The sequence below is a fragment of the Homo sapiens genome, chromosome 5 (assembly GCF_000001405.40).
Source record: "Homo sapiens chromosome 5, GRCh38.p14 Primary Assembly".
NCBI lineage: Eukaryota > Metazoa > Chordata > Mammalia > Primates > Hominidae > Homo > Homo sapiens.
The window spans coordinates 169799420-169815709 of NC_000005.10; the positions used below are offsets into that span (position 1 = coordinate 169799420).

Sequence of the window (16290 nt, forward strand, 5' to 3'; positions counted from 1 at the left end):
TTACCACTTCAGATGAACTCACCTGGTTTTTCTACAACAAGAATTTCAACACCTAATTTCCCTCTAGCAAACAAAAGATTGCAAAATTACAAGTTCACATCCTTTTGAAGATAACTTTTAGCCAGGCAAAAGAAAAAAGAGAAGATAACTTTTAAAATAAACTTTTTAATGAATATTGTAAGACATTTTTTTACCCTGCTTAATAAATACATCTGGATGAAAATCTCAACTTTATGATGGCAAGATATGGACTAAATATTTAACTTAAGTAATAGGGTAATTGATAAAGTAATAGATATATTTTCTCCAACTTTCTTCCTTATCTTTCTAAACAAAGGGTAGTGGCTAATCAATGTATTGTACTCTCAAAAGTCCTTAGGCCAACGAGTTGGTTTTTTTTTCTTTTGAGACAGGGTCTCACTCTGTCGCCCAGGCTGGTGTGTAGCGGTGTGATCATGGCTAACTGCAGCCTTTACTTCCTGGGCTCTGATCTTCTCACTTCAGCCTCCTGAGTAGCTGGGACTACAGGCATCCATCACTATGCCCAGCTAATTTTTAAATTTTTGGTAGAGATGGGGTCTTCCTATGTTGCCCAGGCTGGTCTTGAACTCCTGGGCTCAAGTTATCCTACTGCCTCCACCTCCCAAAGTGCTGCAATTATAGGAGTGAGCTACCATGCTCAGCCCCAACAATATCTTCAGTCCAAATTTCTCATAAAGTGTCATTAAAGCTGTGGCCTATGATTCTATCTACAATTTTAAGCAAAGCAGAATCAAAATTTTTGTCATCTATAATTTTCTGTTTCCATAGAACTGACACTTCCATTGCAATTAAGAACACTTCTTTTAAGTGTTATCTTTCATTATTCTCCTTCCAAGAGAATATAACCCTAGATTTATATTCTCTAAACCACCAGTGTTCCCTAAATCCTCACTCTTCCTATTGCAATATTATCCACTTGTCACGGACTGTCTCAAATGCCACCTCCTCCATTCATTCAGCCAAGATTTACTGACTCACTGCTATGAACCAGGTACTGTATCAGGCACTTGAATATTAGTTCAGCTCTCATGGAGCTTAATCTTTAGTGGGATGAATGGACATTAATTACGTTTATTGGAATTTAATTAAAAACTGAGATTTGGCTCTGAGAGAAGGGATATACTCTTATTAGATCCTATAAAGTCTTCTATGAACCTTCTGACCAGAGCTCATGAGAGGGCTTCTGAAGCATTCAATTTGTTTTGTGACTCTGTAAATTGGGACTCTTTGGTTTCAAGCAACAGAATCCTACTCTGGTAAATTTAAGTAAAAACAAATGTATTTAGAAGAAAGGGAATAATCCATAGAATCAGAGGAAATGCTGAGGAACTAGTTATCGGAGAGGAGAGACTCAGAATCTTGGAGGGAGAGGGGACTCAGCATGTGCCCCTGGGCAGCCTCCTTGGGGCACTTCTGGGATGAAAGCGGAGCCTGAGAGACTACATATTTCTTTTTTCTTTTTCTTTTTTCTTTTCTTTCTTTCTTTTTTTTTTTTTTTTTTTTTTTTTTTTTGAGATGGAGTCTAGCTCTGTTGCCCAGGCTGGAGTGCAGTTGTGTGACCTTGGCTCACTGCAATTTCTGCCTCCCTGGTTTAAGCTTCTGCCTGGCTTAAGCTATTCTCCTGCCTCAGCCTCCTGAGTCGCTGGGATTACAGGTGCCTGCCACCATGCCCAGATAGTTTTGGGTTTTTTTTTTTTTTTTTTTTTTTTTTTTTTTTTTTAGTAGACTTGGGGTTTCACCATATTGGCCAGGCTGGTCTGACACTCCTGACCTCAAGTGATCCACCTGCCTTAGCCTCCCAAAGTGCTGAGATTACAGGCGTAGGCCACCATGCCCAGCCAAGACTGCACATTTCATGTAGTGCTTAAGAGCACAGTCTCTGCAGTCGGGCTGGATTTACCACTTACTAGCTGTGTACACATGACAAGTCCCTTTGTTTCCTCATCAGCAAAACGGGGAAATAATAGTGTCTACCTCCCTTAGTCACTAGGAGAATTTACTGAGATGATTCATGCACGACACTTGCAACAGTGCCTAGCACATTGTAAGCACTCAAAATACTGTGTATTAGTACCGTTGGCAGTTATCATTATGAACGTTCCCTCAAGATTCAGATTTCAGGAGGCCATCCTAATTGGGGCCAGGTGTCCAGCCCTTCTCCAGGGGAAGGCAGGGAGCCTATGACAGCTTCTCAGGATTATAGCCCATGACAGTATGACTCCCCCACGTACAGTCAGGGTGCTGTGCCAGAAGGAGTGGGTGTAGCTCTTGGGCTGACAGAATAAGAGATGTCCTCTACCTCTTCTGACCTTTGTCTTATTCTAATTTCTGCCATTGTTCATTGGTTTTGCTTTTTTTTTTTTTTTCCTGTAATCACCTCTGTCAGTTTTTAAGTACCTAATGGGCAGAACCACATCTTATCTCTGTACCTTGATAAGGAGAGTATCTTCACATTAAAGATGTCCAACATCTATTTGTTAGATTTAAAATGATATCCTGGTGTGTATGATTCATATTGCAGCTCAAGCAGCATCTGAGTCGGGGCAGCTTGACACATGTTTGGATTTTTTTTTTTTCCTCAAGGTTTTCTGTTTTCAAGGGAAATATGGAGACAAAGCTGCGAAGGGCTTCAGAACCTTCCAGAAATTTCCCTGAAACAGCAATGTCAAGAGACATACCCTTCTCTGCAAAAGTTTTAATTTCTTTCTTTCTTTTTTTGAGATGCAGTCTCACTCTGTTACCCAGGCTGGAGTGCAGTGGCACCATCTCAGCTCACTGCAACCTCCATTTCCTGGGTTCAAGTGATTCTCCTGCCTCAGCCTCCCAAAGAGCTGGGATTACAGGCGCATGTCACCATGCCCAACTAATTTTAGTATTTCTAGTAGAGACAGGTTTTCGCCACGTTGGCCATGCTGGTAAATGAAAGCAATGTGCAGAAGGATGCAAGTGGAAGGTTGTTCATTTTGTACTGTCTGTACCAGAGAAGAATGTTCAGTAGTACAGGTATGGCTGAATAGAAAAATACATCCATGATAAGGAGTACTATAAAACAGTTAAAAATAACTAAGTTGGTCCCTAAATGTGATAATACAGAAAGTGCTCCAAGAAATATTAGTGAGTGAAAAAAAATCAAGGTTCAGAGTAATATATACATCATGGTCCCCTTGTATAAAATGGAAACAAAGCCAAAATAACTATATGTTTTATACTGATAAACACATAAGTAAAATTGTATAAAAGGGTCTTGGAAGTTTATAGTGACAGTAATAGACTTAAATGAAATGCAAAGTTAAAATAACACTAGATATTTCATATGGCACATTTTTATATGTATGTGTATATATAAAATATATAGAACATACTAGAATATACAGAATAAAATAACTGGTTGCCTCTGGGTAGGAAGGGTTAGAAAAGGGACTAGAATTGTGAATGATGTTCTCAGGAAATCTTAACCTAATCTTTAATATTTTAATTTTTTACAAGGAGAATGTCTTCATGAACTATTTATTTAATGAAACATTGTATGCATATATGAAAGAAAAGAAACTAAAAAATGAGGAATTCTACACTACTCTGAACTGTCTTTATTCCAGAATGCCGGGACATTCTGCTTCCTGTCATCACCAAAGAGCTGAAGGAGCTGCTGGAGCAGAAGGATGACATGCAACACCAGGTCCTGGAGAGGAAGTACTGCGTTGAATTGCTCAACAGCATCTTGGAAGTCCTTAGCTACCAGGATGCGGTGAGTCCTCCTGATGATGTAGATATCCTGGACTCAGACTAGGGCTAAGTTGATTACATTGTGAAATATTGATACTGATGGATAGCAGCTGGAGTCTAAAGATAAAAGTCAACGGCTTGCTCAGCAGGCCTACTTTTCCTGTGACTAACCCCCATTGCTGTGAAGGATGGCTAGGGGACTGGAGTTAATCATGTTAGCATTTTGTCTCTGTGTGTCTTGTTGGCCAGGCTTTCTCAGAATGTGGGTATAGACATTATTGCAGCCTTTTAAGATGGCTTGTCCACGTACTCACGCCCTAGTTTGCAGGGGTGGGAGGAGGAGTTTCCTATGCCTAGACAGCAAGAAAACTCTCGTGTCTGCTTTCTTAGCTGATTTACTTCGGTTTTGTTTCTTCAGTTACCTTCTGAAATGACAAAAATGATTAAGCCTCTTCCTGGATGAGCAGATTGCTGGGGCTCAGATTCCAGAGATAGGGTGTGGAGTAGGATGGTGGTAGGGAGATGCCTGTGGCCGTGAAGTTACTGTGTATTTTGTAGACGTCATTCAGAGATTAGCTGGGGACGGAAACCAAAGGAAAGTCTCAGTGGGAGTAAGTGGAGGGCTTCCAAAGGGCTGAATCTGCAGAAGATAAGCCAGATGGGGTGGTGAAGACTGAGAGGTAGTGATTAGACCCAGGCCTGGAATTCTTAAGCATTGGAAGATGGAAGGAGGGTGCTGGATCTGACCCAGGTTCCTCTGGCAGCTCCTCTTTGTCCTTGAGTAATGTCCAGGAGGTATTCAGTCCTTAGATGGGACTGGCTTCAGAGGACTACATAGACCCAAACAACCAATACATTTTTTTCTAAGCATTTGTGTGAGCATTGCCCCTTTCTCTCTCCTCCCTAGAACATCCTCAGAGAAGAGCTTTCTGAATGAACTGTGTCTATTATTGACTGTAATTCGAAAACTCTGCAGAGCAATGTTCCTTTACTGGTCAGATCCATAGTCAACCATTATGATCAATTTCCTTGCATACTGTCTTCTCCTGTCTCTTCCTTTCTACACTTACCATCCCAATTAAGCCGCTTCTTGTCTTATTACTACATATGCATAGCTTGCTTCATTCATTCATGCAGAAATATTAATACATATGACATACCCGGTGTGCGCTAGGCACTGGGAACAAGAAAACCTATCCCCAATATATAACGACTAAAATCTAGATGCATATTTGGGGTACAAGAGCTACAAAGTGTGTGTGTGTGTGTGTGTGTGTGTGTGTGTGTGTGTGTGTGTGTGTGCGCGCGCGCGTGCGCGTAAGCATTTTTGTCAAGGAAGCCTACACAAAGGAGGTGAAGCTTCAGCTAGTGTTCAGTGGTGAATAATTAATGATCATATCTCTATTTGTTGGTTTCTAGGCACTGTGCTAAATGCAATCTGCGCATTCTCTCTGCTCACCCTGATCCTAGATACTAAGGCTTATTATTCCCATTTTAGAGATGAAAAACCTGAAATTCATAGACTTCATTAGCATTCAAGGCCAAATAAATAGAGCAAATAAATGTCAGGGTCAAAATTCAAACACAGGTCAGTCTGATTCAGACTCTGTGTAATCACAGGCATAGGGGATACAAAGGCATGGTCTTTTTCTTTCTACTCCTACCTCATTTAATGGAAAGACAGTATAATAACCAAAAGCTTAGATATTCTAGATTCATTCAGATGATGATGTTAGGGTGATGATGTTTCTATAAGGACATTCAGTAGCCAGCTGTTGAGCTGGTTCCAGTCTTAGCTATTTGATCTTTTTAAAAATTGTTTTTTTAAAGGGAGATTTCAGTCTTACTCATAGTGTAGAAACATGAGGGTTTGTCTATTATTTCTGTGGTAACATCCTATATAATGTTGCCTCAGCCAGGGAGGTTGATCATGCCTGTGATCCCAGCATTTTGGGTAGCCCAGGGAGGAGGATTACTTGAGGCCAGGAGTTTGAGACCAGCCTGGGCAACATTGCAAGACCTCTGTCTCTACAAAAAAAAAAAAAAAAAGGAAAGAAAAGAAAAGAAATTTGCCGGGTGTGGTGGCATGTACCTATAGTCCTAGCTGCTTGAGAGGCTGAGGTGAGGGGATTCCTTGAGCCCAGGAGTTCAAGGTTTCCATGAGCTATGATCTTGCCACTGCACTTCAGCCCAGGTGACAGAACAGACCCTGACTCTCTGTCTTAAAAAAAAATTTGCCTCTTTCTGTTGAAAAGCCAATCCACAGTGTTTTTTACATTTTAGTAATGCTCAGATCCCTTTAAATGGGGAAAAAAATGTGGGTCCTTGGGAATATGCCAGTGGCCCCCAGTTTGGGGGATCCAGTTATAATGTGCTAATTGTCAAGTTCCTGGTTTGGTGGAAAGATGGCCCCAGTTCACAGTTATTTGTGAAGTAGGATGCTGAGGCTCTGCCCATCCCAGGGGAGTGGCCCCCTAGAGCTCTACCCTGACAGGCTGTCACCCTTTTGCACATTCCCTGACATCAGACACTGGTGAGAAGAGGCTGCTTGCTGTCTTACACACCCTCGATACTTAGGGCTTCAAAGCCAAGAAGTGAGTGGGAGGCTCTGAGCTCCCCGTGGGGGATTGTGGCATCTGGACTTGAGGTGTGTGGGAGGTGCGTGTCACTCTTTACCGCCTCTGAGTGCAGTGCTCTTATAATGAATTCTGACTGTGGGGACTAACCCACCCCTTTCTCCGGGTGAGCAACTGTCTTTGCTGGATGAGTTATTAAATACTGTTATCACCATTGAATTTGGTAGAAATTTTGATGCTTTTGGTGAGCTTCACATCTCACCTCTCCTGCTCATGAAGATGGAAATCTCTCTTCTTTTCTCAAAAGCTTCTTCAATGAATAGGAGGCATTCAGTAGCCATGATTACTTTGAGCTAAACTGAAAATGAGAGGCCCAAAAGTACCTAAATTTCTCATGTTCTAATATATAGCGGCTCTCAACATTGCCTCATTGCCTGCATAGTCATATCACCTCGAGAGTTTTTTTTTTTTTTTTTTTGAGCCAGGTTTCTGCTTCTGCCTCCTGAGTAGATACAACTATAGGTACCAGCCACCACACTTGGTTAATTAGTTAATTAATTAATTAATTTGTAGAGATGGGGTTTCACTATATTGCCCAGGCTGGTCTCAAACCCCTGGCCTCAAGTGATCCTCCTGCCTTGGCCTCCCAAAGTGCTGGGATTACAAGCCACCCGGGGAGCTTTTTAAAAGTCAAACTAGCAGGAGTCAGCCAAATGGGTAGGAAGATGGGGTGGGTCCCCGGTGAAACCCCATCTCCAAGCCGAAGAGTTTAAAACCTGAAAGTCAAGCTGTATGTTAAATCCTCAGACTGGATTGAGAACTTGTCCTACCATTTGGCACACTTTCCTCTGATTGATCCCCACCCTTCGCTTATTTTACATAAACTTACCTTTTCCTAATTGGTTTTCTACACTGTCATGCCCACCTTTGAGTGGTGTCTTCCCTTTAACCTTTTTTTGCGTACTAACAAACAAATCGGCAGTCCCCATTCTGAGTCTATAAAAGGCCCCAGACCCAGTCACACAAGGTGTGGGGAGGGACGGGGAGGGGACAACTTTCCAATCTTGGGGTAGGGGAACCAGTGCCCCACCTCCACCCCCCACCATCCCCCCGCCCCCCCACTGAAAGCCGTTTTCACTGCTCAAGAAAATTATTCTCCGCCCTCCTCACCCTTCAATGCCCCACGTATCCTCATTCTTCTTGGGTGCGGCACAAGAGATCCGGAACCGCTGAATATGGGTACAAGCTATAACATAGTTGGTGAGCTGGATGGGCTGAGTGAGACCTGGGCAGGGCGTCACTGGCTGGGGGTCCCCGGCTTGCAAAGCGACTGAGAAGAAAAATCTTGCATCAAAAGCAGTAATACCTAGGCCCCTGTCCCAAGTATTCTGACTGAATTGGTCTGGGGTGGGTGGGGCACTGCAATGAAAAGGTGATGATTACCAGGTGATGCTAACTGTCAGCCAGCATGAAGAGCCACAGGTGTTGAGCAGGTCTCAAACCTGAGCAGGCACCCCCAGTAACCTGGAGGAGCTGTTAAAACACGTTTCTGATCATTAGTCTGGACGGTGGGGTCCTGGCGTCCAGTAACTTATTTTTCTAGCAAGTTCCCAGGTGCTGTTGATGCTACCAATGTAGAGGCCATGCTCAGAAACCATTGCTCTAATATGACCTGTCTTTTTTTTTCCTTTAGTATTCACTGGAAATAGAGGAATAGCTGGGCTCATTCTCAGTTCTTTACCTTCTTAATTTAAGAACCCTGTCCAGTCTATAAAATCTAGCATCTTCCGGCTGGGTGCATGTGGCTCACGCCTGTAATCCCAGCACTTTGGGAGGCCGAGGCGGGCGGATCACGAGGTCAGGAGATCGAGACCATCCTGGCTAATACGGTGAAACCCCGTCTCTACTAAAAAAATACAAAAAATTAGCTGGGCGTGGTGGTGGGCGCCTGTAGTCCCAGCTACTCTGGAGGCTGAGGCAGGAGAATGGCGTGAATCTGGGAGGTGGAGCTTGCAGTGAGCCGAGATCATGGCACTGCAATCCAGCCTGGGAGACAGAGCAAGACTCTGTCTCAAAAAAAAAAAAAAAAAAAAAAAAAATCTAGCATCTTCCAATATGCATTTAATAAACCACAAAATGGCAAATATTTCAAACACATTAATTTGTACTCATGAATTCATCTTCATGGGATAGAAGGGACATGGAATATGCAAAGATCCAACTTTGAAAATCCAGACTGTAGAATGTGCTGTTTGCTTTCTACAGGCACCAACTTCTCAAAATTGAACACTTAGATGAAAACTAATAAAAAAGGCCCCCAGAGCAAATGTTCTGGATTTTTCTCCTGGTTGTTTGGACCTTCTCTGCTGACAAGAGCATAGCCATTTTTACTGGCTTTTAGTTGGCATCATGGAACAACCCATTGATGTTCCATGGAACATCCAAGAATAGAGACTATGTCCACCTACTGGAGGCATTGCCCAGGGTAGAACCACGTGTGGAAATTTAGCAATTACAGTGCAGGATGCCAAGCTTCCATTTGGGGGGCGCTGTGTGTTTGGGGAATGGGACAGGATGCTTGTCTTCAATAGATTGTCATTGTTTGGGTAATTACAGCCCAGAGCAGCAAGCCAACCTTATTCTTTGAAACCCTGGGTGTCATGGTAGGACTCAGGGGGAGATGTCTGCCTTAGCCTGGCTGTTGATTTTTTTTTAATCATAGTGTTGAATTCCCTCACCCAGCTTGCTCCTGGTCTCTTAGCATATGAAAGGGACCAGCTCAGGTGAAGGATAAAAGGCCTGACTTCTTCCTCTATTAACTCCTTTTCTCCCCCCTCACTGAGCAAGTTTAGTTGTCAACTCCAGTTACTTTGAAGGGCGGTTTCACACTGCTTCGTTCTGTGCTTTGCTGGCTGCCGAGTAACTGATAAAATTTAATATTGCTCCAGACCCAGAGAGAGTTGGTTTTTCCCCTCTTAAGACAGGGTTTTTGTTTTTATGTTTCATTCCTCAAGAAAAAGGAGAGTCGTTGTTTGCTACTCTGCTTAGCAGTCTTAAAGTGGGTAAAGATGACTCCTAATTCTCAAGAAGAAAAGGTGTTGGCTGCATCTGAATCGTGGACATAAGGAATTCTCAGAATCATCTTTTTTTAAAAAAGTATTTGAGTCTATTGGCTAAACCTGGGTGGGGGGCTACCAAGGTACTCTCAGTCATGAATGGTTTAAGGGTTCTGATTTTTTTTTTTTCTTTGAGATAAGGTCTCACTCTGTTGCCCAGGCTGGAGTGCAGTGGCGCAATCTCAGCTGACTGCAACCTCCACCTCCTGGCTCAAGCAATTCTTGTGCCTCAGCTGGCTGAGTAGCTGAGATTACAGGTGCCAGCCACTGCTCCCAGCTAATTTTTGTATTTTTAGTAGAGACGGCATTTTACCATGTTGGCCAGGCTGGTCCCGAACTCCTGACCTTAAGTGATCTGCCCACCTCCACCTCCCAAAGTGCTGGGATTACAGGCATGAGCCACTGCGCCCGGCCAGGTTTTGATGTTTTTGTTCACAACTTAGACATCAGTTGGGAGGCTTTTGCTTTTGCTTAGTGCAGTGTCTCTTGCTTGGAATGCTCTTCCAATTTCTCATCTTTCTCTGCAGGTAGAATCCTAAACTCGTTTGGAGTTCAGCTCAGATAACACTTCCTTTCTGAGATTTTCTCAATTCCATTCCCACTTCCTTCTCCTCCGCTCTGCCCCCAGGCAGAATTAGGGACTTCCTTGTCTGTGTTTTCAGAACCATGTGTGCACCCTGATATCCCAGCGCCAGTCATTTTGTGTTACTCTCTCCTGTGTAACAGGAGGCTTTGAGTGTGGAAGCTCAGGGAGCTTCCCTGAGCCACAGGTGTAGAGCAGGTCTCAAACCTGAGCTTCCACACTGACTTCGCAGAGTTTACGCTTTCAGCTTCAGTCTCTCCCATCCCACTTGAACTGTCTATTCTCTGGTTCCATTAAAATCCTTTCAGTTCCTCACTTGTGCAGCACCCTCTCACTTCTCACTGCGGCGGAGTGCCGTTCACACTGCCTGAATGCATCACCTCTGCTCTTAGCCTAGCTAAATCCTACCTTCCCCTCAGAAATCAGGTTAAATGTGACTCTCCTGAGAAGCCTTCTCTAATCCTCTTCTCCATGTCTCTTGTGGTCCAAGGAGCAGCTTGTGCTTGCTCCATTGTGGCACCTGTGTTGTCACCCTCTGTGGACTTTTCTGTCTGCCTGCAGAAACCAGAGTGCTATGAGGAGAGAGATCTTGCTGCTCTACCCCCCGCCCACCCCAGCACAATGCCTGGCTCTTGAAGCTATCTGAAGGAAGGAATAAATGAATGAATATGTCTCGCTCCAATTAATGGCAGGGCCTGATTTCTCCCTGGGGTCTTGTGCGCTGAGTGCTAGCAGGGTATTCTTCTTTTTGCCTTCTTTTCTTGTGCGCTGAGTGCTAGCAGGGTATTCTTCTTTTTGCCTTCTTTAGATGTCAGGTGCAGAGGGTTGAATTAATCACACTCCTGAGTTCATAACACATCATCTTCATTGGTCTGTGCAAGATCCTCCCCTGTTCTGTGTGTGTATATGCGTGTGCATTTTGTCATAAAACAAAATTGTATCAAATTGATTTTAGTGTTCTAATTGACTCTTACTAGTGATTCATGAGTCAGGCATTCGTATCTAAAAGACAGAAGGAGCTCTCTTGGGCGCAGCAAAGCAGTTGGTTATTGTAAGGTAGCTTGAGTAGGAAAAAGGAAATGGGATGATACAAAAAGGTGGGTTGGTTAACATCAGGTTACTTCAGGTTACTTTCCTTGTAAGAGTTAAAGCAGGGGGACTTCCTTATCATGCCAGCTCAAATGACCATGCCCTTTCCAACTGGTTGCTGTGAACCTTCTGTTTTTAAGAAAGACTGGTCTCTTTGGGGGATTTTCCTGCTTCCTTAAAGTTCCCATTTTAGTATGTCGCACTTAGCGCAAGCGACTCCATCTTGGTTTGATCTGGGCCTAGTGCAGGAGCTCAGTCCAAAACAATGGACTCCTATGATTTTATTGAACAATTTCTTACCCTTTATCCCCGTCTTCTACTCCCATTCCACATGCCCCCCACCCCCCATGAATGATTTGTCTAATGCGTTGAATATGCACGTGTGGTTTTGGGTGCATGTATGTTTACACACACACACACAGACTCTCTCTCTCTCTCTCTCACACACACACACACACACACACACACACACACACTCATGCCTCTCCTTTGAAGAGGATCAGATATGGACAGCAAAGGGCATTAGCATCTTAGCTGTGTTAGAATCCCGATGGGAGGGGAGGGGACTGCGGCATGAGCATGAATCCTCCAGACTAGAGGGCATTCTTGGTGGAGTCCTGCCCCTGACCTGCGTGTGGGAAAGCAGTCCACCCTGCCTGTCTACGCTTGGGCGCCTTCTTCTGAAGTGCATCCCCTGTGGCCACTCTGAGCTCTGGGTTCTCTGATAAACCTAGGCAGTTTGCCTGCTGCAGGGTGGAAGGGAGGCTGCCACTGCCTCTTTGCATTACTGTTTAATTCCCAGGAATCAATACCACCCTGCAAGAGCAGCAGGGTTTTCTTCTAACCTATCTGCTCCCTCATATTTGAAATAAAAGGCAGGGAGACAAGGCTTGCTGAAATTCTTTTGTCTATGGTGCATGCCAGAGAGCAGCTAATTAAGCCCCAAACCTGAGGTTGAAATACATGAGATCACTGCACCTTCTGCTGTGACCAAGGCTGCTTTGTTTTCACCCCTTGCTTTTCCTCTGGCTTCCGTGGAGTTAGAAATGCCCTCCTGAGGCCAATGGCACAACTTCTATGGATGACTGTATACCACACACTTCCCCAGCACCTTCTAACTGGCAGTGTGTGTTCTTATACGACACAGTTGTTTGTTTCTGGTGCCAAAGTGGCAAGGTAGATCTTACTATCCCCATTTAACTGGCGAGGAGGCTGAGTCTCAGAGAGGCTAGGTGACATTCCCAACTCAACAGCCTCTCAGGCACCACGTTACCTCCCCCCACTCTGCATCTACACATCGCCAGTTAACAGCACTTTCACCTGCACCATTTCCCTGGAGGAGCCTCTACAGGCTTTAAGTCAGACTGCATCTTGTATCCATTCCACAAATATTTAGAAATTGCCTAACATGTGCTCTATTCTGTATGCTGGGGCTACGGCTGTGAGCAGAGCAGGGGATAAATTCTAGCTCTGCTGTTATTAGCTGTGGGACATTGAGAAGTCATCTAACTTCCCAACCCCAGAATGGGTCCTCAACCCTGGGTCCATGGCCTGTTAGGAACCAGGCTTCACAGCAGGAGGTGAGCAGCTGGAGAGCGAGTAAAACTTCATCTGTATTTACAGTCACTCCGCATGGCTTGCATTACTGCCTGAGCTCCGCCTCCTTCAGATCAGCGACGGCATTAAATTCTCATAGGAACGCGAACCCTATTGTGAACTGCACATGAGAGGAGTCTAGGGTGCATGCTCCTTATGAGAATCTAATGCCTAATGATCTGTCACTGTCTCCTATCCCCCTGAGACGGGACTGTCTAGTTGCAGGAATACAAGCTCAGGGCTCCCACTGATTCCACATTATGTTGAGTTGTGTAATTATTTCATTATGTATTACAAGGTAATATAATAATAGAAATAAAGTGCACGGTAAATGTAATGCACTTGAATTATCCAAAAACCACCTGCCCCACCATCCGTTTTGTGAAAAAATTGTCTTCCATGAAACTGGTCCCTGGTGCCAAAAAGGCTAGGGATGGCTGCTCTAACCTGTCTGTATGATGAGGATACTCTTTTCCCAGGTGTGTCAGAATTACAGTAAACAAGAACACCTGTGAAAACATCCAGCCTTATGCCTGGCAAATAATCTGCACTCTATGCACGTGGCTTTCCTTCTTCCCTCACTGTTCCGATTCACTCATATGCTCTTTCTGCTGTTCCAGGCTGCTTCTAAAACATCCCTATAATTCTTTTAAGGACAGTACAGGGTAAAGTGGCTTCCTGGGAGAATGCAAGGCAGGCACTGAGCCTGGAGAGAACTCTGTAGCCCCATTAGTATTGAGGGCAACCCCCAAGCCAGCCCTGGTGGCAGCCAGATGGTTTGGAGCCCTCGCAGTCTCCACAGAAGGCTTGCCGGGAAGCGGCAGATGCTGCTGCTGGAGGCAGGCCTTCCCTGCAGGGCATCTGGACCTCATAGGAATTCCTGGAGCGACTGGAGAAAGGTGTCTTCCTGTCCTTTCAGGGGCTCCTGCGGGGAATTCCAGAACTTCAGGGCTCCTGATCACCACTGTACAGGGCAGTGAGCTGGAGCTGGCTCTTTCCAGCTCACAAGAACCGAGTATTAAATGTTTAGGAATTTTGTGAGGCAATTGTTAAATAACCGTTATCATCAAAAATTGTTATAAATCTATAATTAAATAAACTATATTAAAATCTAAGGTAATAAGATCTCAAAACTCAAAAACTTCCCGATGAGCTGGCTCCATTTTATTTTTATCTACCCTCTTGAGGTTATTTACATCTATTGTGTCTGTGTGGTGGAAATACTGTCTCCAGCTCTGCTGCTGTGCCTTGAAATCAACCAGAAAGGGGGTGTTAATGCCACAGAAATTGGAAAACGTTGCATATATCCAGGACTTTATTTTTTTCTTTCTGGAAAAACAATGGACAAACATCTACCAGCACACCCCTGCCAGGGACTCAAAACAATGGCCCCAAACAAGAAAAATCCAGAGACCCAAGGGAGATGCCTGTGCAATTCTCTTCCCCTAGTGGACCCTAAATCTGCCACCCTTTAAGGGTTCTCAAGGGACTTGGCAAAGCCAGTATGCTCCAGGGATGTAGTGTTTTTAAGAAAAACTAAACACCCAACATAGACCAAGGAGGGGAGATATGTTTCATTTCTCATGATAGTTCTCATTGATCTGCTGTGGCTTCTTTCCTAATAGCATTGAGAATGTCGAGGTCTCCTGCAGGGCAGTGAGAAAGACAGCCTTGGTTCCTGCAGTAGGTGAGGGGTGGGGACAATGAGTTGGGTACCATGGATTTGCTATGCTTAAACTAGATGGCCAATCCCAAAATGTGGGGAAGGTCACTGTGACAGGGAGATTGTCGTCTTTCACCTGGTAGGTTTTGGCCTTAAGTAGGACATAAAAATTAGGAAAAGTTGATTTTTGATTTGACAAACACCACCAGATTTATTGTTACAAGGAAGAACCATCGATGGTTACTAAAAGTCATGGACAAAAATCTGATAGGAAACAGGATATTTGCATAATCTCAAAGTGTCTTCCCAAAGTATCCACTGATTAATGGCACAGGGAAAGCAGTAGCTTTACAGTGGAGACAACTGATAGACCTTATCCTAACCAAATGAGCAAAGGGAAACCACCAGCAGGGAAACATACTGACGTCATGTGCCTCCTGACACGATGCACTGAGAAGGACTCTACATCTCTTCTATGGGAATCTTACCAAAAATGTACAGCCTCGATCTGATGATGAGAAGACATTAGACAAACCCTAACTGAGGATTGAAAAATACCAGTCTAGTCCTCTTCAACAGTTAAGGTCATGAAAGACTGTGGCACTCTCACAGATTTGGAAATGTGACAACTGGATTCAATGTGGGATCCTGAATTGAATCATGGACGAGAAAATGGATGTTAGAAGGAAAACTGGCAAAATTAGAATAAAGGTTACAGTGTAGTTAATAGCATTGGACCAATGTGAATTTCCTGGTTTGATTATTCTACTCTGGTAATGTAAGAGGTTAACATTAACCAGTGCTGGGTGAAGGGTGCATAGGAACTCTCTGTACCATCTATGCAACTCGCTAGGAATTCAACATTATTTCAAAATTTAAAATGTTTTTAAGAAGCTTATTTTTGAAGTATTTAAGGGATGATTACTCACTTATGAAGAATGAGGGTTGAAGGTGAACAGTTCTGTCAAGTATACTTATTTCTATGTGAAGGGAAATTACACATAGAAATTAGTGTAAAAACCTGATAGATACAGGTTTTTCTGATTTATGAGTTAAGACAAAAAAATCCAGAAAGGACTAGCCTTACTAGAAGGTTCCATTTGCAAAATTCCTAACTGTCTCAACCAATCAGAAGGCCAATGTAACCTCCTACCAAATGAATAATTAGGTAATTGCATGACTAAACCAACATTTAGCATGCCATAACCCAGGACTAGGCTCTGGGGAGGTGGAACATGGAGGAGCATAGGAGCCTGTCCTGTTCTCAGGGACCTTGCAGCCTATAGTATTTCACGTGGGCTATTTGACATCCCTAGCCATGTGGTAAGTCCTAGGCCAGGGTATAGGACTTGAGTGTCACCTGATCTTTGCCTGGCGGGCATGGAAAATGGTTGGTTTGGCATTGCTTAGGGATGGTCTTTGGGTTGTGTATTCTTGGGGAATCCATCTGGAAAATAAGAAGACAGCTTTTGCTCACAGTTGACTAGACCTCCCCCTAGTAAAGTTAATGATCCACCAGGTTCTGTTCCATCAGCATCAGCTAGAAATACTTCTTAAGGTATTCTTTAATATTGCATTATCTGCCATTACCAAAGTTTAAAGAAGTTTGCCTACAGCCAAATGCACGATGGCCTCACACACTCCCTCCTTCCTATCCTCAATCTCATACCCTTCTTCACTGCCTCTCAGAGCCAGGATGAGGTGAGGCATGGCCTGGGAGGAAGGGCAGAATGTAATGGGGCACCAAAAATTCAGTAATCAAATCAAATAATACTTTCACATGACATTTTAAAAACTCAGTATTTTGTTATTTTGTTTACCATGAGTTTTTGCATTAATTTTTTAAACAAAAAAATTGCATTAAGTGTTAATTTTCTTGATTACTGAGTTTTTTGGGACCCC

The 16290-nt window shown here is 43.7% G+C and overlaps 1 protein-coding gene across 8 annotated transcripts in view, besides 3 other annotated features; it reads left to right on the forward strand.

Moving 5' to 3' along the window:
- DOCK2 (dedicator of cytokinesis 2) overlaps positions 1 to 16290 on the forward strand; it is a 446108-nt gene that overhangs the window by 162145 nt on the left and 267673 nt on the right. For all 8 annotated transcript variants that reach the window (NR_156756.1, NM_004946.3, XM_011534449.3 and 5 more), the window contains exon 26: positions 3639 to 3787. Coding sequence is in view for 7 of the 8 variants with exons in the window: in NM_004946.3 (NP_004937.1) it covers positions 3639 to 3787 (149 nt within the window). In the remaining variant the exon portion in view is untranslated. The remainder of the gene's footprint in view (positions 1 to 3638; positions 3788 to 16290) is intronic.
- Positions 5902 to 5951: an enhancer, noted in NCBI's record as "active region_23600". NCBI's record gives its function as "activates an Ori minimal core promoter by ATAC-STARR-seq in GM12878 lymphoblastoid cells {active_cell/tissue: GM12878}" and the evidence as "EXISTENCE:reporter gene assay evidence [ECO:0000049][PMID:35858748]".
- Positions 6082 to 6131: an enhancer, noted in NCBI's record as "active region_23601". NCBI's record gives its function as "activates an Ori minimal core promoter by ATAC-STARR-seq in GM12878 lymphoblastoid cells {active_cell/tissue: GM12878}" and the evidence as "EXISTENCE:reporter gene assay evidence [ECO:0000049][PMID:35858748]".
- Positions 8766 to 9343: an enhancer, noted in NCBI's record as "OCT4-NANOG hESC enhancer chr5:169235189-169235766 (GRCh37/hg19 assembly coordinates)". NCBI's record gives its function as "activates a minimal SCP1, AML or CMV promoter by ChIP-STARR-seq in primed H9 embryonic stem cells {active_cell/tissue: H9 hESC(primed)}" and the evidence as "EXISTENCE:reporter gene assay evidence [ECO:0000049][PMID:30033119]".